Source organism: Homo sapiens, chromosome 14 (assembly GCF_000001405.40).
Source record: "Homo sapiens chromosome 14, GRCh38.p14 Primary Assembly".
Taxonomy (NCBI): Eukaryota; Metazoa; Chordata; class Mammalia; order Primates; family Hominidae; genus Homo; species Homo sapiens.
In genome coordinates, this window is record NC_000014.9 from 88,864,167 (window position 1) to 88,887,667 (window position 23,501).

General features: G+C 37.0%; 1 protein-coding gene across 11 annotated transcripts in view; it reads left to right on the forward strand.

Moving 5' to 3' along the window:
* TTC8 (tetratricopeptide repeat domain 8) overlaps positions 1-16,913 on the forward strand; it is a 56,927-nt gene extending 40,014 nt beyond the window's left edge. For 5 of the 11 annotated variants that reach the window (NM_001288782.1, NM_001288781.1, NM_198309.3 and 2 more), the window contains 5 exons: positions 5,893-6,032; positions 7,383-7,557; positions 8,164-8,286; positions 10,860-10,943; positions 13,128-13,830. In NM_001288782.1, coding sequence (NP_001275711.1) covers positions 5,893-6,032; positions 7,383-7,557; positions 8,164-8,286; positions 10,860-10,943; positions 13,128-13,244 — 639 coding nt within the window. In that variant the 3' untranslated portion in view covers positions 13,245-13,830. Of the gene's footprint in view, positions 1-5,892; positions 6,033-7,382; positions 7,558-8,163; positions 8,287-10,859; positions 10,944-13,127 lie in introns of all 11 variants that reach the window. The other 6 variants (XM_011536433.3, NM_001366535.2, NM_001366536.2 and 3 more) reach the window with 3 other exon arrangements.

Here is a 23,501-nt window from a genome sequence, read left to right on the forward strand (position 1 = left end):
TAAACATGTATTACTTTCAAAATAAAAGTATTTTAACATTGTCTAGAAAAACTATGATTTCCTTTTGAAATGTAATTTTTATAAATGTATAAATAGAAGCCTTTGATCAATCAATGAAAATATTCTGGACTCTAAATTGAGTATGAATAAAACTTTGACCAACAACCTTAACCAGTGGAATTCATGCTTGTTCCAATGGTAACTATGCCAGTGCAGTTGGAGCTCTGACCTTTAGGCCCTTGCCTTCTGCTCATTTCAGCCCTTTTGCCCTTCTCTTCTTAGACAGGAAGTGCTAGCAGAAAGAGCTAGAGAACTATCACATCTTTATTGCATGGTTGCTGGTGGGAAGAATTCCTTCCAAGCCTCTGTTACAGTCACTGTTGCTGTGGCTGTGATACGGAGTAGCTCTGGAGTGGATTCCTTTTCTCAACCTTTCCCTGCTCTAAGTTGACTGTACACTTGAAGGAAGAAAGAAGTGGAGAGGAAAGCATCTTAGCTGTAGGGACAATCATGCACAAATAGAGTGATCAAGGACTAAGCACAGATTTGAAATAGTTGGTGGCAGTATTTCTGTCTTTTGCCTTGAATTTGCATAGCTAATTTCCGTTATGTAAAGGTTTACCACACCAAAGTCAGATTTCCAGTGTATTCTTTTTCTCTTCATGTGACAATAGATGTCCAGTTAATCAGTAAATTGGTTTTAGCACCGCAGCCTGCACTGTGTGTGCCTTTAGGGTTTTTGTTACATACATCATGCTTGGCCCTGGCTGGAGGGATTCCATTCCTTTATGTTCTCTTCTTTTTTTTATCTTTCATTGTTGAAGATATCTTTTAAATATTGTCTATTTTAGGATGAATATGTTGAACTGCTTATTGTTCATTGTTTAAAATGATTTATCCTTGCCAGATTTCTTTGTTGGTGGTTTCAGTTTTTCTTGAGGTATTTTGTTTATTCATTTCAAAGACAGGTCTTAATTTTAGCCATTCTTTGTTGAAAGGCATTTGCAATTAAAAACCTTACCCTGGAAATGTTATTCTAGAGGTCTTCAAACTTTACTGTGTATGAAATTACCTTGGGAGTGGATGGGAAGTATGACCCATCCTCTTCCTCTGAATCAGAAGTCCTGGAAGGTGGGACTCAGGCATCTGGATTTTTAGCAAGCCCACTAGGTGATTGATTCTGTTGCAGAACAAAATTTGAAAACTACTGCAGCATTCATTTTCTGCAGTTGTTTAATTTTATTTTAATCCCAGAACTTTGGGATGCAGAGGTGGGCAGATCACCTGAGGTCTGGAGTTCGAGACCAGCCTGACCAATATGGAGAAACCTTGTCTCTACTAAAAATACAAAATTAGCCTGGCTTGGTGGCACATGCCTGTAATCCTAGCTACTCAGGAGGCTGAGGCAGGAGAATTGCTTGAACCCAGGAGGCAGAGGTTGCGGTAAGCCAAGATCGTGCCATTGCACTCCAGTCTGGGCAACAAGAGTGAAACTCCATCTCAAAAATAAAAATAAAAATAATAATAATTTAAAAATCTAATTAAAGATTTTGTGTCTACATTTTGTGAATTGGATCAAAAATAACCACTAAAAATCACTTGATACCAAATTTATTATATACTTGCAATGGCATTTATATACTTGAAAATGTAATTTTAAGTCTACATTAATAAAATCTATTCTAGAACTAGTAAAATTTAAACAACTCTGATAAAGGAATAAAGAAAATAGAGTCAATGTGTGTTCATATATATGAAAATTTAAGATGTGAGAAAGATAGCCTATTAAGCCAATTGCATTACTTGGTTATTTAATAAATAGTTTAAAAATAGAGCTGGATGAGTAATGATTTATACTATTAATTACTGCCAGATTTAAAACTTTAAAAATTTAAAACTTCAAAAAATGATACCCTGAAAGTTCCAGAAGAAAACACAGATGAATTATTTGTATAAATTGGAATGAGGACGATTTTTCTAATCATGACACAAAGTCAAAAAGCCATAATAGCAAAGATTGATAAATTTGAGAATGTAAAAGTTAAATTTTCTAAATGGCAAAAACAAAAAATAGAAACCAAACCCATATACAACAAAACAAAAGATAAAAATATCAAACAGGGAAAATAGTTGGCATACCTGGGACAGACAAAAGACTGCTTTTGATTTCCTCAAACTACACATTGCTTAAAAATTGCTGAAAATGGGAGATTTAAACACACACACACACACACACACACACACACACGCACACACAAATTCTCATCTATTTAGTCAAGAATGTAAACATGGAAACGAGGTATTTCCATGTCATGGTGTGGCTTTTCCTTAGGCTCTTGTTTCCTTTCAGCCTACACAGTGGCCATTGACCCTCTCTGTGAAAGTAAAATCACCACAGAGATGAGACAACAACCAAGTTCCAGCTGCATTGACTATACCGCCCCCCTTTTGTACTTAGGGCTTGGTGACACCTATTTGGAAGAACTTAATTAACCATCTATACTTTTCCTCTGAAGAGAATGTTTATAAACACTGAGCCTTCCTGTGTTGTTGAACTATGGTCAACATCAACACGGGCTCTTTTCATCTGGAATAGAACACAGTCAGTGCCCAGGGATTCTTGAGCCACACCTCAGCCTCCAGCTCTCCTGTGTCCAGGAGGGCAGTGTTCCACCCAAGACTCCCATACACACAATCGTGGAGGGACAAAAGATAGGATAGGATAGAAGAACAGACAAAAAATATGAATTGGCAGTTCACTGAAAGAGAAATATAAATAATATCTGATGTGTTAAATGCCTAACCTCTGTCATAATTAAAGATATAAAAAACTAAAACAACAGTGATAAGCCATTTTTCACTCAATCAGATCAGCAAAGATGAAGAAGTTCTATGTTATCTAGGGTTGCCAAGGGTGTAGAGAAACAAGCTCCATGTATGAACATTTGGAAGTTGTTTGCAATTATTGATGATATTTTAAAATGTGCATGCTCTTTGACCTGGCCATATTACTTCTAGGAATTTTCCTTAAGGATATTTTCATACAAGTGCACAAAGATCTGTACAAAGATGTTTTTATAGCATGTTTTTTGGTTAAAAAAAGGAAACATATGCTTGAACAAAAAGGGACTGGTTTAATAAATTATGGTCTCTGTATTGATGGAACACTATGCAGAAGTATTATTTAAAAATATGAAGTAAAGCTTTTGGTTTTGATATGGAAAGAGTCAAGACACTGAGAGTGAAAAAATAAACTGTATATTAGAATGTATAGAATGATTCTGTTTATGGTTAAAATATGCACACCCATATGTATGCTTATGTATGAACAAAATTTCCTGAACAATACTCAAGAAGCTATTAACAGAGCCTCTGCCTACTACAATTTGGGGATGGGGCATTTACTTTTAATTTTGTACCGTTTTGTAAGGTTTACATTTATTTAGTATAAGCACATATTTTATAAGTTTATAAAACTTAATTGAAAACCTACATACGAGGTTGTCAGTACAATAGGTGTTTCAGTCTAAAATTCCTCGAGATTACATAAATTAATTTCTGTGTCCATTAATTAAGTATACAAGTATTCAAAAGTAATTTTATAGAACCCAAAGTCTTGAACCAACTGGCTTATTGAGGCTTGAGCCTTCTTTGCATTGGGCGTTGCCACCTTTGGAAGCTGTAACACTGAAGCCTAGCACTGTGGGATGCTGTTGGCTTTGAAAAAGAATTTCAAATATAAAGCACATGAAGAAATATATATAAAACATAGATTTGGGTCAACTGGTGAATGTTTTGTTAGGGTTTTATGGGACTGATAAGTTACATCCCTGTTCTCCATGTTGAGAACCAACTGAGAGAGAGATACAAGATTTCGACAAATAGAGGTCAGACCATTAGCTTGATTACAGATAAAAGCAGAAGTGGAGCTTTTGGCTTTAGACCTATGCTCAAAAGGACTTAACAACCTTCTCGCTCTGGGTTAAACAGACTAATCTACCCTGTCACAAACATAGTTGTACCAACCTACAGACTTTCTCCACTCAGAAGAGCTTATTATTTTTCATAAAAATGTTATGTATGTGAACATGTAATAGGTTTATTTTGTGTTATTTAGAATGAATTAATAAGTAAATGTTTAAAGATAGCTCAGTTGCAATTTCTAATATTAATCTATATAACTTACATAAACAAAACTTCTTCTCAGCAATTTTTAACAGTTTAAAAGGAATCTTAGACCAAAACGTTTGAGAACCTCTGTTCTAATGGAAACATGGGAAGCTAAGAACATTTTTTAGAGTTGTTTAATTCTTGTTTATTAATTTTTCAGTTTCTAGAACACTAAATTTTGTGCTAAGAAATGGCACATATGATCTTGCTTTAAAGGAATTTACCATATTTCATGGACTCTAAAAACACATTTTTTTTCACATTTTAACATCTCTGAACTTGAGATACATCTTAAAATGGATAGCATCTTTTTATGGCCAAGTGGCAGTTGCCATGTAGTTGTCATAGTCTGTTTATATGGAAACTTGGGTAATTACTCTTGGGAGCATGGTGAACCTGGTAATTATTACTGGTTGTAGCCTGAAAGCTTTTGTTGACACCTGCTGGTAAGATCAAGAAAATCAAGAAAACACAGGTATCAGCATAGCAGAATGACTGTCCATAGGTTGGAAGAAAATCTTGGAGACAATAGTGGAGCACTTTTAAGAAATATTAAAAGTGGATTTTAAATGTTCTTACCACAAAGTATGCAAAAGAGTGATCTGTGATGCAATCTGTGTATGAGTATGTCTAAATATCAGTGAGGATCAAATAAAAATTCTGTTTAAAAAAAGCACTGCATGGTGCTTCTTAACAATCAGTAGAGTCTCTTATATTTGATATGATTAAAATTTAATGAAAAGTATGAGTCCTTCTCTAATGAGAACAAGTTCACATAATAAACACCATGTAAGTTGAGAGGTAGAAGACAGCTATGTGAAGTGAAGGCATTAGGGAAATCTTCATGAAGGATGTGGAGCCTGAACAGGGCCTTGAAGGTGGACTTGAGAAATATAACATTCATTGATAACATTAGATGCATACATTTATGATTATCAGTATTTTAGAAAGAATATATAATAACTGTAGAAGGTTTATTTAGTTTTTCATTTTGTATGTATTTCTAAGCTTGGTCTTGGTTGCTGTCTTTTCTTTCCTGGACTTTTGATCTTCCTGCTACCACTCTTTCCTATTTTGGTATGTCTAGCATGCAGCAGTCAAGTTATTCTTTCAAAATGCAAATATGATTGTTATTCCTCTCCTAATGGATTTCTCTCAACTAGAAAAAAAAAAATCTGAAGTTCTCACCGTGGCTTACAAAGGCCCTGGCTGCCTCTCATCTCCTTTTGTGCCACTTTCCCTCTTCCCAGCCTCATTTACCTTCGTGTGGTTCTTCATATGTGACAAGCACGTTCCCCTCTCAGGCTCATACATTTGCTCTTCCCTCTGCCCAGAGTGAGCTTCCCCCAGATATGCTCAGGGCTTGATCCTTCACTTCACTCAGGTCTTTTCAAATAGCACCTCCTCCAAAGTGGCCCCTTCCGCCACCCCTTCTGAAGCACACTCTCCCTGCTCTCTCTCTCCTTCTCTGTTTCTCTTCACAGCACTTAACCTTCTCTTATATTACATATTTGTTTGCCTTTCATACCAGATGTCACCTCCCTGAGGACAGTGACTTTCTCTTTTTGTTCATATTGTATCCCCAGGGTCTAGAATGGAGTCTGGCACATGGTAGCCTCTCAATAAATACTTATTGAATGAATGGACTTAAATCAGTCAGAAAAAAATAATTTTTTGTCCAATATTAATAAAATATTGCTCTTCTCTCTTGATGGAGAATAGGAAATGAACAATATGTCATCAGCAGCAGAATATTACAAAGAAGTTTTGAAACAAGACAATACTCATGTGGAAGCCATCGCATGCATTGGAAGCAACCACTTCTATTCTGATCAGCCAGAAATAGCTCTCCGGTTTTACAGGTGCACTTCACATCCAATTCTTAGAACCACTTTCCTGTGAAATATTGATAAAATAATAAGAAAGATGGAATGAAAGTATAGAGAAATAAGGTATAGGCCATGTCTTTATGAAACTCAAATGTCAACACTGAGATATATAATGAGCATTGAAGTGACATCCAATAATTTGGAAACATGCAGATGTCTGGCATCTTGCAGAAACACACTGGACAACTGACTGAGTTTTAAACCTCATTGTCATTGTATGTGTTAGCCATTTTGTCATCAACCAATAAGTTGAATAGTTACTTAAAACTTATCATCATCATTGCCTCCGTTAATACCATTAAACATAAAGACACTGAAATTGAAAGGTGAAAAGATTTGCAAAGAGCATTTGGCCTCATGTTCTGAACCTTGATGAGGACCTGAAACAGAATCACCTGTTTTGTGCAGCATTGTTGGTTCTTGTCCCAATATTTTTTCAGTCTAAATAAATTATATTCACTGATTCTCTTTTAAGTACTTATTTCATCCTACATATGACTTCTGAAATTAATTTTTAAATTATGATTTCCTCCTTAGCCCTTGGGTAATATAGAAAGAGATGACTGGCAGCTGACAAGGGTTCTTTCCAAATATGTGTTGGAGGCATAAAATGTAATAATAAGAACACTATTCTGTGCACCTGCAGCTGACTCTACTCCCCAACCCCCAAAGTGGGTCATGGGTTTCTCACGGCAGCTGGGCTGGATTTTCATTTGCTCATATGAACTCGCTTGTCCTTTGTCCCATGGGATTAATTATGCATAGAAGCAAATGGGGCTCTTGAGCTGCAGTGTGAGAGCTAAGTGGATAATGTAAGGATCCGCTGATGGTCTTGTCTTCCTCAGTGGAAGCTCATTGGAGTTCAGTAGACACAGCTGAAGCACAAAGTACAGCGAGCCAAAAACGGGATCCAGTCAGCTGAAAACGTAGAGGTTAATGCTAAACGCAGTCCTCAAATTAGATTAGGTTTTAGGAATTTACCCTATGGGCAGCAAAGCTTTATAAAGCTGAAGTGTGTGGGCGTTACTTTTTGTGACTATTTCTTATTTTGGTTCTCTAACAAAGCATTTGGGGAGAAAACTTAGATCAGTTGTTTGTCTTTGTCTCTAGACACATTCCCCATGACTAGTACCATTATGAAAGAGAGGTGTTTGTATTTGCTTTAAACATTTTTTCATTTACTATAACACGTATTTATATTCTTAAGGAGTATCAAAAATCACAAGATGAATTCATTTTTAACTGTGTAAAATATATATATATATGTCTTAAAACTTACAAAGTTGGTCTGACACCAAAATTTGTGTGTTCTTTTTTGAAAAGGCGGCTGCTGCAGATGGGCATTTATAACGGCCAGCTTTTTAACAATCTGGGGCTGTGTTGCTTCTATGCCCAGCAGTATGATATGACTCTGACCTCATTTGAACGTGCCCTTTCTTTGGCTGAAAATGAAGAAGAGGCAGCTGATGTCTGGTACAACTTGGGACATGTAGCTGTGGTATGTTGTCTTACTGATATAATTTCTGTTATAGAAAGTTGGTTTGAGCCAGACACAGTGGCTCATGCCTATAATTCCAGCATTTTGGGAGGCTGAAGCAGGAGGATTGCTTGAGCCCAGGAGTTTGAGACCACCCTGGGCAACATAGTGGGACTCTGTCTCTACAAAAAATTTAAAAATTAGCTGGGTGTGGTAGTGCACATCTGTAGTCCCAGCTACTCTGAGGGCTGAGGCAGGAAGATCACTTGGGCCTAGAAGGTCAAGGCTGCAGTGAGCTGTGATCGTAGCACTGCACTCCAGCCTGGGTGACAAAGTGTGAGACCCTGTCTCAAAACAAACAAAAAAGTTAGTTTGAAGAAATTTTCAGGAATTATCCTACATCCAGGTTTGGCAGTAGTCTTACGGGGCAATTTAGAAGTTTCTGGGAGTCATTGCGGCTCATTTTATATTCTTAGGTTAAATCCACTTACGTAGAATTCACATTGACTTCTATAATTGTATGGTACTTGATGCTTTTTGTCTGGTAGCAGAAGAGATACCTATGAGGAAAGAAGGGAGGAGGAAGTAAACGGACCCATGGGTGTGAACATAGGCTTTCTTTTGTAGGGAATAGGAGATACAAATTTGGCCCATCAGTGCTTCAGGCTGGCTCTGGTCAACAACAACAACCACGCCGAGGCCTACAACAACCTGGCTGTGCTGGAGATGCGGAAGGGCCACGTTGAACAGGTCAGTGAACTGGCAGCGGCATGCTGGGCAGTCTGCTTTCTTCAGAGAAAAGCTGTCATGTGTGGTAGCATTACAGCGTATGTTATTTTAAAATGAGCTCTAGAATCTGACAGGCGTGGATTTGAATCCCAGCTCTGTTGTGTATTAGCTGTGTGACCTTGGGACAAGTTACTTAACCATTCTGAGTCCAAAATAGAATGTTTGATTTTATTAGGACAAATCTGAGCCTCCCCAGTCTACCCTATCTTAGTGAAGTGTTCTACCAGTCACCATCCCCTGTCTACTACATAACTGCTCAAGCCAAAATCCTTGGAGCCACCCCGAAACTTCTCTCTTTTTATTGCTTCCCCCTGCCACACCTGCGCCCACATCATATTCAGCAAGCCCTGTCATTCTGACCTCAGAGTCCCATCACATTCTGAGCCTGGCCACCTTTCTCCATTCCCATGACCCTTCTTCAGACTGCTCTCATCTCTTGCATGGACTACTATGAGAGCCTCCTAGCTGGTCTTTTTGTTTCCACTTACATCAGCAAGTCAGTGCACTCTATGATACACTCTTCTCAGAACAACCTGAGAGATTTTTTTTAAAACCAAGACTGTTTAATACTACTTTGTTTAAAATCCTCTAGTGCCTTCTCCTTCAACTTGGAATAAAATCTGGACTTGAAACCGTGACTATGGCCTTTGAGGCCCCACGTGACCTGCCCTCTGGCTCCTGCTCAGACCACATCTTTTGCCACTCCTTCTTCCCCACTGACTTGCAGACACATCGCTGCCTTGCTGCTCTGCAGACAGACAGTGCTCTGTCTTCCTTTAGGGCCTTTGGAGTGTTCTTCCTTCAGATCTTGCAATGACAAATTTCTGTCTTGTCATTCAGGTCTTAGATTAAATGCCACCTTCTTAGAAAGGTCATCTCCCCCATCAGTCTAAAAGAGCCCTTGGGTGTTATCACATCTCTTACTTTTTTTCTTCACAGTATTTACCACTTTATCAGATATTTTCATATATATGTGTAGGATGTAGAATGTCAGCTGTATGAAAAGAGTGACCATATCTGTCATGTAACTGTTATATTCCCAGCATCAGAAACAGTACCTGCCGTATGGTAGATGCTCAGTCAATATTTGTGGAATGAATGGATGATACATAAAATAGAGTGTAACAGTAGTGATTTGAAGGGATTGTTTGTGAGTGTTAGATCATGCACTTGGCATAGTGGAAGCATAGTATGGAGCACATGGTAGATGCTTAATAAATTGTATTATTATAATGATATATGTAAAAGAAAAAGTTTAAAATACTAAATATGTTCATACAATGTTAGCAGCCATCAAGGGCAAATATTATTACATTCCCCACTTTGGAGATAAAGAAACGGAGGCTTGAGAAGGGTGAGTAACTTTACCCGAGGTCACAGACATGGCGAACAGCATGCCAGTACATTAGCCTGGTCTTCTAAGCACAATGATAAACTTTTAACAACAACAAGGAAAGAAAGGTCATTGGATGTTACCTTTATTGCATAAATTCTCCCAAAGTAAGGAAGATAGATTTGTAGTTTACAGACTGTTCTAAAATGGACACTTGTTTTGTCAGGAACTTTGCCTGTATTCATATGGTGAAACAAGTGATTTTTGTGATTTTTCTCTGTTCCCATATTGGTAATTTTCTTTTCCTCTTACTTACTGTAGTTTCTCTAGCATGCAATTGACTTGAAATGTTTTGGTGAAAGATTTCATAATATGAACTTCATTTTATTAAAAATTATATCTTTCATTCTATATTAGCTTGATATCATTTTGTTTTCCATTAAAAAAGTTATACAAATTTGTCTTCAGGGTCATGGATAGAAGTTTTAGATGTAGCTACAAGTTGAGGGGTTGTTAGCAGTTTGTAATGTTGAATTTGTGGTCTTAATGAATGTATAAGCATCTCATGCTGCTCAGTGGTCTCTGCATTGATGATCCTATGATCACAAAAAAAAAATGTGAATGTTATATTTTGAGTATCTTAGATAACAGAAAGCTTGTCATATTCAATTGCTGTCTCACTAACAAAACTGATCAGCACTATATTAAATACTTGCTCACTGTCATCCAGCACAGAATTTTGGGCTTTGAAATTTACAATGGTTTTTTTGGTTGTTATTACATTAAAGAAAAGGTAATTAGAGCCTGCTTAGTCAATCAACAGCAGTAAAAACTAGATTAAGTAGAATGTTGTAGTATTGAGAAGATTGTATTTCAGATTGTATGTCATATTGAAATATAACCTTTATGAGAACATTGGTTCCCAAATAACTTTAAATGTACTCTGAATTTTCAGTTCTCTTATTTTCTGTGTCTTATGAAGCATTTATTATTAACATAATTTTGGCAAGGTATCAGTAGTTAATTGTATTTCATGAAGTCATTGTATTTCATGAGGAATGTTGTCGGTATTTATCACAGGCTCGTGTTATTAAAGTCCTGTCATAGGTAAAGAATTCTTTTACCAAAAAAAAAACACAAATATGGTGCTGATATATGTTCATACGCCTTTGGTTTTTCTTTTCTTTATTTTTATACACAGGCAAGGGCACTATTACAAACTGCATCATCATTAGCACCCCATATGTATGAACCGCATTTTAATTTTGCAACAATCTCTGATAAGGTATTCTCTTTCTTCATTAATTTATCATCTGATCTGTTCTTTTTTTTTCTTTGTTTTAAAAAAAGTACAAATAAATGAGGAAATTCTAACCTCATCTTCCTGAAAGAAATGACTTTTTAAAACTCTTAATTACTGCATTTATTTATACATCTTTACTTCAAGGGACAGCATTTAAAACTTTTAATTTATTGCTGAATATTGACTAAACTCCATTATAGATTATAGAATTATTTTATGTTTTGAAATATGGCATTTAGTCATTGAAGAAATACTCACTTAATAACTCCTGGTTTGGGAAATGTTTAGTTATTGGCTTTTACAGCAACAAAATCCTGTGCATTATTTGTAGATCATATTGCCACCAAGTTTCTGGTACAATTGCTGTAAAATTAGTGATATTCTAATGTGAAAACTATCTTAGCTATGAAGAATATGGGGGAAATAATACTGTGTTGCAAGTCAGTTAGTATCCGAAAGCTAAAGGGAACCACGTGCCATTTTTAACAATAAGAAAACAAGAAAAAGACATCTAATAACTAGCTTGTACTTGGAAGGTGAGTCTGTTTTGAGAATAAGGAAATGGCTAAAAATATTTGTGATATAAATTAGGGTCTTGATAGACCATAAGATATTTATAAAGATGTTATTCTTCATAGCATAAATATGAAGTCATCTACACTGTCATTTCTGTATTGAAAATAAAATAAACTGTCATTCATGAGTTGTAATTATTGAGCACCTGTAAGTACCAGCCACTGTTCTAGGTGCTTTAAATACTTTCTCTAATTCTCCCAACTACCCCGCCTTCCTCACTCATTTTTTTCATGACTGATGTTCTATTTATTGAGCCTTTGCTATATACCAGGCCCTGTTTTTGGCACAGAGGATGTAATGATGAGTAAAAGACAAAAACCTGTACCTCAAGCAGCTTAATTTCTAATGGAACCCAAGGCTTAAAGAGGTTAAAAGACTTCTGCGTCCCTTGGCAGTGGCAGATTTCAGATTCACACCCAGATCCCAGTGATGTCCATGTGTTTCCCACTGTACTGTGCTACTGCTTAGTTAGTTAAACCCCCAAGAGGGCTGGCTTACCTTCGGGAATAGCACCACATTTTAATAGTATATAACTCAAATGAGATATCTTCTTTAAGCAAAAGGCTGCACTTCCATAACAGAAAGCAGTATATTAAAAAGAAGTGCTATGATTTAAAAAAGGAAACTTAATTTCTGTTTTAATACGTATGTATTGTTACCAGAAATCTACCAGAATTTATCTAGATTTTTTGAGTGTATACATGAAAAAGCCTCTTCCTTTTTAGAACGTATCCATGAATCAAGATATACTCAACTGTAATTAATAATTTATTGTATATCCCAAAATAGCTAGAAGATTTGAAATATTCCCAACACAAAGAAATTATAAATGTTTGAGGTGACGGATACCCCAGTTACCCTGATTTGATCATTATACCTTGTATGCTTGTATAAAAATATTGCATGTACCTCATAAATATATTATTATGTATCAATAAAAAGGATACATTCAGACAGTATATGTGTTTTTCTTTGGGAATTAATATAAAGTTCATTGAAAATCAGAGACATCCTTTATAAACTTTTAAAACCAGATATTTTCCCAACATTATTGTGCCAGCACCACTTAAAACCTCTCAAAACATGTTATTATGCCTTAAATACAGCAGTTTTTGCTTAAATTTTCTGTCTAAAAGGTAACAACTCTAATCAAAATATATTTTTGTTTGTGGTACCTTACAGATAGTTTTCTCTAAGTTTTCTGAGCTATCTAGAGCTGGCTGTTTCAGCATGTAAATATCACTTTACGTTTATAATACTATCATCAGTGACAGGAAAAGAAAACATAGGTTTCTAAATTCATTACCAGACAGCTAGAAATTATTTATATAATTGGTTATTTTATCTTTCTCATGTATTTTTCAAGATTGAATTATAATCTAGAATTCTAAAATCAAAGTAGCATAATTAAGCAATTTGCCTTTAAGAACCCTTTGAGTTATGATGTTAGTTGTGGGTTTGTTAAAAAAAAAAGAAAAGAACCCTTTGAATTTCTACAGCATGCAGATACTATGTCTTATTTTCTTTTTTACTTCCTTACTCATTTTTTTCTGATCTCATTCCATGGTCTTATTCTTGTATTTTTTGCAGATTGGAGATCTGCAGAGAAGCTATGTTGCTGCGCAGAAGTCTGAAGCAGCATTTCCAGACCATGTGGACACACAACATTTAATTAAACAATTAAGGCAGCATTTTGCTATGCTCTGATTGTTCCTTAGACCACATATGTTCTTATGAAGCAGCATTATGCAAGGGGAAAAAAGCACTATGTCTGTGTATGTATGTATATAGTGTAATACGTATATTTTAACAAACCTGTCCTTGATATTAGTTAAGGTGACACATAAGGGTGACACAGAATGTGTAATGCAAATTTCATAGTAATAGTAACTTTATAAAATAATATTATAAAATACAGGATTTAAACCTTTCTAAATAGATCCTGAAACTGTCTCTCACATTATATAGTAGATGTTTGTTTATAATGTTTACAAAACATTTTGGTGAATTTCCTCAATGTTTTATAAATGTACATTTTTTAAGTCCTTAAGCTGACTCTTAGCCATCATGTAGCTTAAGGAGTCTGAAATCTGCCATTAAAACTGCACCTTTAAGCCAGGTGTGGTAGCATGTGCCTATAGTCCCAGCTACTTGGGAGGTGGAGGTGGGAGGATTATAAATAGAGACTTTCCTTAAGACTTTAAAAATGTATTTAAAACTATTTTTTATTAAATACTTTGTGATTTCCTATTAAGCTTTAAAATAAATCATTGTGTAAAACACCATCATTTCATTATTTTTTAATGAGTTTTTATTTTAGTCATCTCAGGTGAAACAGGTTTTACAGAAGTCCAGTAATCTTAGAAATCATCATTATTTTAATTTTATTTCAAATGATATACCACCAATTCTGTTTTTTCCTAAAAAGTGATTTATGGGATGTCACATTATTAATAATAAGAATATTCAGATTAGAAATAGAGTCACAGGCCAGGAGTCCCACTTCTGGTCAGCCACAGCACGGAAGTCAGCAATATTCCAGTACCATGCATGGCATAGCAGCCTTAGAAAGGCTCTTGAACTTTTCTCTGCCTTATTTAGTGGAACTCTTATTAAAGTGTTCACACAAGGAAATGTGTTAATGGGACAGGACCACTCAAACTCATACTTTGGACTTTGGGACCTCCATGTTATTTTTCATTTTTTTAACTTCATGAAAACTATTTGATAGATACTTCTATTCTTTTCAGATTTGTATAAATTGTATACTCAGCTGAGAGAACAAAAAAATTGAATTCAAGGAATGATAGCTTGCTCAAGGCTAGCATTCACTACAGACAAGAAAGCAAGGCCCCGCGTCACATCCATAGCTGCAGCCCAAGGTCTTGTTCCTGCACCTTAGACTTGAACCTTTCTTGGTTCTCTGTGATGTGTTAGTGTTTATTTAGCCCTTGAGAATTTCCTCAGGTACTATCACATTTCCTAATATCGTAGTCAATATTTAGATTCAAATGGTATAATGTGAATCATTTTCTTAATTTAAAATAAGAGCTAATAAGAATGGCTGAACATTTACTGAGGATGTTAAATATGCCCACTGTTCTGAGCTCTTTATGGGAATGAATTCATTTCATTCTCACCGTAGTCCTATGCAGGCTGTTATTCCATTTTACTTATGAGAATACTGAGGCATAGTAAAAAGCTTATTGAACTAGTAGTAAGTGCCAAAGATTCAGGTTTAGGCAGCGTGGCCTCTTGAGTGTGTGCTCTTAATCACTAGGTCAAATCACCTCTCTCTGTTTCTGCTGTAAATAAATCTACTACCATTTAAAATGAACATTGTGTGCATTAGGAAAGTTGAATAATAAGGGAATATTAACACAGCAAAAAATAAATGATTCCATTTTCCTAAGGTGATATGGAGGGATTTTGTCTTGAATTTATGTGAATTCAGTGTGAGCATGAAGGCAAAGAATGAGTCACAGTGGCTCAGGGCAGAATGATGACATAGCACCGTGGATGACTGTATCAGAAGCGACATTCAGGATGTCTTTGTAACAACATTTCCTATGGACTGCGTAACTTCTGGCTTCTGTGCCAACATTTCTGTAGAAAGAACACAAAAAATACTAATAATTGTTTTCCAGTTTTCCACTGTGGCTAAAGAGGTGCTCAATCCATAAATACAAATTGCTCAACCAAAATTCATATCATCGAGCATATTTCCAACTGATGAAAATGAGATCTGGCAAGAAGGCTTCCTGCGCTAAAACATTACTGAGGTTAGAAGTTCTTCCTTTTTTACAAATGTGTCATGGCTGAGCCAGTCCCCATAGTGATAACTCTTCCATTGCATTTCTGAGTGCTTTTTCCCAGGCTCAGATTATCTATCAGGATACAATTTATGGCCTACAGATAAGAAAATTAATAAAGGTAACGTGTCACTACATTATTATTATTATTATTATTATTATTATTATTATTATTATTATTATGACAGTCTTGCTCGGTCGCCCAGGCTGAAGTGCAGTGGCATGATCTTGGCTTACTGCAACCTCTGCCTCCCGGGTTCAAGCAATTTTCGTGCCTCAGCCTCCCAAGCAGCTGGGATTACAGGCATGCACCACCACACCCAGCTAATTTTTGTATTTTTAGTAGAGACAGGGTTTCACCATGTTGCTCAGGCTGGTCTCAAACTCCTGGCCTCAAGTGGTCCACCCGCCATGGCCTCCCAAAGTGCTAAGATTACAGGTGTGAGCCACTGCACCCAGCGTCTCTACACTTTTAGTTTCCACCACCAACCCTTTACTACAATGAGGGATTTCTGTCAGGGTCTTTCAGCTGGGATTGAATTTAAGCATTCAGAAAACAAATATTTTAGAAAGGCTGGCAGGACTAAACCTTAGAAAATAACCCAGAAATCAAGTGTAGGAAAAAAAGCCATCACCAAATAATTTTGTATTCTAGGAAATAGAGAAATTGGAATGTTCCATGTTTATGTTCCTTGCAGAGTTCCAAAATGGTCATCTAGGCTCAGATTTGAGGGGGAAACATTTATTTAGCAATTTGAAAATAACTGCACTTTCATATCTATCCATATAGATGGCATTCGTCCTATTTTTAGCTAAATAAAAACAACATTTTTGAGAGAGACTATTATTTCACTTCTTTGATGTCAAAGCCAGTCCTTGAAATGAAAGAATAGACATGTTGTTATAATCCTTGGGAACTATGTTTCTTGCAATGTGATCCTTTTCTTTACCTGAATCTAATTCTGACTAATAAGGGAAAGTGGATTGTTAAGTGAAAACAACGGGAACTCTTGGTGAAAGCAACCGTGTTATCTTGGAGAAGAGGCTAGACCTAAACAGATTTTAGGAAGAATTTTGTTTTCTTTTTAAATCAGAAAGAGAGACCCTCTTCCAATATTTGAAACTCAAGTTTTTATGGACTCCAGCACCTTGCAACTGTCACCGCCCCCAAACCCCACCCCTCTTCTGGTCTAATAGCTTCAATTTATTTCTCTCTACTGGATTATGTCTTTTTTAAAAATCACATTTCCTTTAAGCCTGCCTCCCTTTTTAAAAATAGACAATATAACTGTTTATTAAAATAAAGGAAGAGAAAGAAAATAACCTGAAAAGGAAACTCATAAAAGAAATTAAAATGGTTGATAAACATATGTAACAAAAAAAATTTGATAACAGAATGAAATTAATTCAAGAGAAAGATACATTTTTAACCTCTTCAGAGAACAAAGATTTGAAATGTTTATTATATATGAGGTGAAGGTACTGTCAAAATTCACTGTTGGGCATATATATCATTACAATCTTGAGAGTAGTGTGGCAAATTTTATTAAATTCCTTCCATTTCTCTTGTGTGTTTTTTTTTTCTTCCACTTTTAAGTTCCAGGGTGTATGTGCAGGATGTGCAGGTTTGTTACATAGGTAAATGTGTGCCATGGTGGTTTGCTGCACAGATCAACCCATCACCTAGGTATTAAGCCCAGCATCCATTAGCTATTCTTCCTGATGTTCTCCCTACCTCTACTGTCCCCACAACAGGCCCCAGTGTGTGTTGTTCCCCACCATGTGTCCATGTGTTCTCATTGTTCAGCTCCCACTTATAAGTGAGAACATGTGGTGTTTGGTTTTCTGTTCCTGCATTAGTTTACTGAGGATAATGGCTTCCAGCTCCATCCATGTCCCTGCAAAGTACATGATCTCTTTCCATTTTATGGCTGCAGAGTATTCCATGGTGTATACGTACCACATTTTCTTTATCCAGTCTATCCTTGATAAAACCTGCCCCCTTTTCTAGTACCACCCTATCTCCTTTGTCACAGGTCTTGAAAGGCTAGATGACTTTTGTTACCTACTTCCTCATCTTTCATTCATTCCTCAACCTCTTTAATCTGGAGTCTACTTCTACCACTCTAGAAACTGCTTTCACTGAGGTCACCAGTAGCTCCCAACCCAGAGGTCGCTTTTTTAACATGACTTTTTTGAGATATTGTTCATGTACTATATGACTCCTCTTTTTTAAAAAAAAGTATACCCAGTGGTTTTTAATATATTCACAGTTAAGCAATCATCATTACAATCAATTTTAAGACACTTTCAGGTTGGGTACAGTGTCTCATGCCTGTAATCCCAACACTTTGGGAGGCCAAGGCAGGAGAATCGCTTGAGCCCAGGAGTTTGAGACCAGCCTGGGCAACATAGTGAGACCCCATCTGATATGGTTTAGCTGTGTCCCCACCCAAATCTCAAATTGTAGCTCCCATAAGTCCCCTGTGTTTTGGGAGGGACCTGGTGGGAGGCAATCAAATCATGGGGGTGGTTCTTTCCCATGCTGTTCTCATGGTAGTGAATAAGTCTCATGAGATCTGATGGTTTCTGCACATGCTCTCTCTTGCCTGCTTCCATGTAAGACATGACTTTGCTCCTCATTCACCTTCTGCCATGATTGTGAGGCCTCCCCAGCCACATGGAAGTGTGAGTGAATTAAGCCTCTTAACTTTATAAATTGTTCAGTCTCAGGTATGTCTTTGTTAGTAGTATGAGAACAGGCTAATACAAAAAATTAAAAAATTGGCCTGGCACAGTGGTGCATGCCTGTGGTCCCAGCTACTCAGGAGTCTGAGGTAGAAGGATCACTTGAGCTCAGGAGGTCAAGGCTACAATGCAATGTTTGCACCACTGCATTCCAGCATGGATTACAGAGCAAGATCCTGTCTCAAAAAATTTTTTTCTCATCATCCCCCAAAGGAATCTCATACCCATTAATAGTCACTTTCCATAGCCCCACAATCCCGTCCCTATCCCTGACTGTAGCCCTGGGCAACCACTAATCTACTTTGCTTCTCTATAAATATACTGTATTAGTCTGTTCTCACACTGCTATGAAGAAATACCCAAGACTTAGTAACTTATAAAGAAAAGAGGTTTAATTGACTTCAGCGTGGCTGGGAAGGCCTCAGGAAACTTACAATTATGGTGGAAGGCACCTCTTCACAGGGCGTCAGGAGAGAGAATGAGTGCCAAGCAAAGGGGACAGCCCCTTATAAAACCATCAGCTCTCATGAGAACTCACTATCACGAGAACAGCATGATGGAAACTGCCCCCAGGATTCAATCATTTCCACCTGGTCCTGCCTTTGACACAAGATGAGATTTGGGTGGAGACACAGCCAGGCCATATCATTCTGCCCCTGGCCCCTCCCAAATCTCATGTCCTCATGTTTCAAAACATAATCATGATCTTTCAACAGTCCCCCAAAGTCTTAACTCATTCCAGCGTGAACCTAAAAATCCAAGTCCAAAGTCTTACCTGAGACAAAGCAAGTCTCTTCCACCTGTGAGCCTGTAAAATCAAAACCAAGTTAGTTACTTCCTAGATACAATGGAGGTACAGGCATTGGGTAAATACACCCATTGCAAGTGAGAGAAATTGGCCGAAACAAAGGGGCCACAGTCCCCATGTAAGTCCAAAATCCAATAAGGCAGGAATTAAACCTTAAAGCTCCTAAATAATCTTTTTTGACTCCATGTTTCACATTCAGGTCATGCTGATACAAGAGATGGGCTCCCAAGGCCTTGGGCAGCAGCTTCACCCCTGTGGCTTTGCAGGATACAGCCCCCCTCCCAGCTGCTTTCATGGGCTGGCATTGAGTGTCTGTGGCTTTTCCAGGCACACGATGCAAGCTGGTGGATCTACTATTCTGGGGTCTGGAGCATGGTGGCCCTCTTCTCACAGCTCTTCTAAGCAATGCCCCAGTGGGGACTCTGTGTGGGGGCTACAACCCCACATTTCCCTTCCACACTGCCCTAGCAGAGGTTCTCTATGAGGGCCCCTTGATGAACTCAGTATACCACTGGCGGCTCTATGAGTAAATAGCAAACTGTTCTCATGAAAGCAGGTTGTTAGCAAACTGACAAACTGCGTCTGCTGCCCAGAAGGAATGCTGAGGGCAGTCACGCCCAAAGCACAGTGTTTCTTGTGATTAGGCACATCTGAAGCCTGTTAGCAATAATGTGAACCTGTGATCAATCAAGCAGCTGACCAATCATTACTTCCTCCTCCCTGCTCTTTCTACCCAATAAATATGAAGGGCTGTAGAAGCTCAGGACGGCTGCCTTTGCTCACTAGAAGCAGGGAGCTCTCTTCTTCTTCCCCCGGCCCCTTCCCTTAAAACAGTTTCTTTTGTTTTAAGTTTTCATTTCTGCGTTTGTCCCCCTTCATTCAGCCTTGTAATGACAGTCTCAAGTAGGAACAGTAATAACGGTTGTAATGACGGTCTCAAGTAGTAACAGTAGTAATGGTCATAGTGATGCTCTCAAGTAGTAACTGTTACAAGTCTGCCACACTTTTCCATACATCCTCTGAAATCTAGGTGGAGGTTCCGAAACCTCAATTTTTGTCTTCTGCACACCTGCAAACCAACACCATGTGGAAGCTGCCAAGGATTGGGGCTTGCACCCTCTGAAGCAATGGCCTAAGCTGTACCTTGGCCTCTTTTAGCCATGGCTGGAGCGGCTGAGACACATCGCACCAAGTCTGGAGCTACACACAGCAGAGGGACCATGGACCCAGCCCATGGAACCATTTTTCCCTCCTAGGCCTCCAGGTCTGTGATGAGAGGGGCTGCCTCAAAGTTCTCTGACATGCCCTGGAGATATTTTCCCCATTGTCTTGGTGATTAATATTTGGTTCCTTGTTACTTATGCCAATTTCTGCAGCAGGCTTGAATTTCTCCTCAGAATATGGGTTTTTGTTTTCTATCACATTGTCAGGCTGCAAATTTTCTAAACTTTTATGCTCTGCCTCCTCTTGAATGCTTTGCTGCTTAGAAATTTCTTCCACCAGATACCCTAAATCACCTCTCTCAAGTTCAAAGTTCCACAGGTCTCTAGGGCAGGGGTAGAATGCTGCCAGCCTCTTTGCTAAAGCATAGCAAGAGTGACCTTTGTTCCAGTTCCCAACAAGTTCTTCATTTCCATCCAAGACCACCTTAGCCTGGACTTCATTGTCCATATCATTATCAGCTTTTAGGTCAAAGCCTTTCAACAAGTCTCTAGGAAGTTCCAAACATTCCCACATTTTTCTGTCTTCCTCTGAGCCCTCCAAACTGTTCCAACCTCTGCCTGTTACCCAGTTGCAAAGTCTCTTCCACATTTTTGGGTATCTTTATAGGAGCACTCCACTGTCTGTGGTACCAACTTACTATATTAGTCTATTCTCACGCCGCCATGAAGAACTACCTGAGACTGGGTAATTTATAAAGAAAAGAGGTTTAATTGACTCACAGTTTCACATGGCTGAGGAGGCCTCAGGAAACTTACAATCATGGTAGGAGGAACTTTATCACAGGGCATCAGGAGAGAATCAGTGCTGAGTGAAGGGGGAAGCCCCTTATAAAACCATCAACTCTCATGGGAACTCACTATCAGGAGAACAGCATAGGGGAGACTGCCCCCATGATTCAATTATCTCCACCTGGTCCTGCCCTTGACACGTGGATGTTATTACAATTCAAGGTGAGATTTGGGTGGGGACACAGAGCCAAACCATATCATCTACCTATTCTGGATATTTCATATAAATTGTGTGATATGAGGTCTTTTGGGACTGACTTTTCTCCCTTAGCATAACGTTTTCATATTTCATTCACGTTGTAGCATGTATCAATATTTATTTCCTTTTTATTGACAAATAACATTACATCATATGGATATACCACATTTTATCTATCCACTCATTAGATGATGGATATTTAGATTGTTTCTACTTTATGGCTATTATTAGTATTGCTCCTGTAAACATTTACATACAAGTTTTTCTGTGGATGTGTTTTTCTCTTGGACAGATATCTAGAAGTAGAATTACTGGGTCATATGGTATCTATATACTTAACCTTTTGAGGAACTGCCAGAGTTCCGAAGTGGCTGCATCATTTTTCATTCCCACCATCAGCGTATGAGAGTTTAAATTTCTCCACATTCTCATGAGCATTTGTTATTATCTGTCATTTGGATTAAAGTAAAAGTATAGGAAAAGATATATTATACTAAAACAGAAGAAAAGCTGAATGCTATATTAATATAAGGCCAAGTAGAGTTCAAAGCAAACAATATTACTAGAAATAAATAAAGGACATTTAACAATGATTAAGGGAGTGAATTCCTCAAAAGGACATAAGAATCCTAAATGTTCCTGTACCTAATAGCAGAACTTCAAAATACCTGAAGAAAGAATGGATAGAAATGCAAGGAGAAATACACAAATCAACAAGTTGCCCATAAAAACATAGAAAAAGAAGACCAAATTAATCTCAAAATAAGCATAATAAAAGAAATAACAAATATTAGAGTGGAAATCTATGAAATAGAAAAGAAATAGAGAACGTTAGTGAAATCAAAAGCTGATTCTTTGAAGAAAGCAATAAAGTTGATAAGCCTCTAGTTAGAATGATAAGGAAAAAAGAACACACAAATTTCCAATATCAGGCATGAGAGAAATATTACTCCAGAATTTTACAAATATTAAAAGGCTAATAAAGACATTTATAAACAACTTTATGGCAATATGTTCAACAATTTAGATAAAATGGAGAAATTCCTTGAAAGACACAAACTGTCAAAGCTTTTTCAAGAAGAAATGAATAACCCAAATAGTCCCATATCTATTAAAGAAATTGAATTTGTAGTCAAAAACCTTCCCAGGCGCAGATAATTTTACTGGTTGATTCTACTAAACATTCAATAAATAAATAATATAAATTCTACACAAACTCTTCCATAAAAATTGAAAAAGGACAGGACAAGTACTTTTCAACTCATTCTATAAAGCCAGCATTACCCTGGTACCAAAATCCAGACACAGATAATACAAAAAATACAACTATAGACACACCAATATCCCTTAAGAACACACATTTTTAAAATTATTAACAAAAAGTCAGCAAATCAAATTTAAGAATGTATAAAAAACAGTGATACATCCTGAGCAAGTACAGTTTATTCTAGGAATGCAAGAATATTTTAATATACAGTAGTCAATTAAAATAATTCACTATATTAACAAGAAAGAAAAAGTCATATGATCATCTCAATAAACTGAGAAAAAGCATTTGACAAAATTTCACACGCATTTTTGATTGAAAAAAATAACAGCAAACTAGGAATAGAAGAGAACTTCCTCAATTTGGTAAAGGCACCTACAAATAGCCTGTAGCTAGCTAATGTCGTACTCAAAGGCGAGAGACTGAAAAAGAACACACTTTCCCCTATAATTAAGAAAAATGCAAGGTTGCTGGCTTTCTCTACATTAATTAATGTTGTACTGGATGTTCTAACCAGTGAGATAAAGCAATAAATAAATAAAATACATTTAGGCTGGAAAGAAAGATACAAAATGGCCTTTATTCATAGATGACATGATTATGTAGAAAAATCCCATGTAGTCTACAAAAAATACTAGGACTAAAAAGTGAGTTTAGCAAGGTTGCAGGATAGAGTATCAACATACAAAAGTCAATTGTATTTCCACATATTCACAGTGAAGAGTTGGAAACTGAAATTATAAAATCAATACCATTTACAGCAATATGAAGAATATGATATACACTTGGGGATAAATTTGACAAAATATATATAAGACTTCTACAAAATATTACTGAAAGAAATTTTTAAAGTCTTAAATAAATGATGAACTGTACTATGTTAATGGATTGGAAGACTCCATACTGTTAAGATGTTATTTTCTCCCAGATTAATCTACATATTCTACACAGTCCCAATCCAAATCCTAGCTTGTTTTTGGTAGGCATTCACAGGCTAGGTCTAAAATTAATATAGAAATGCAAAGATCCAGTAATAATCCAAACACTGTTAAAAAAGAAGAACAAATTTGGGACTAACACTATCTAATTTCAAGGCTTATTTTAAAGCTAGCATAATC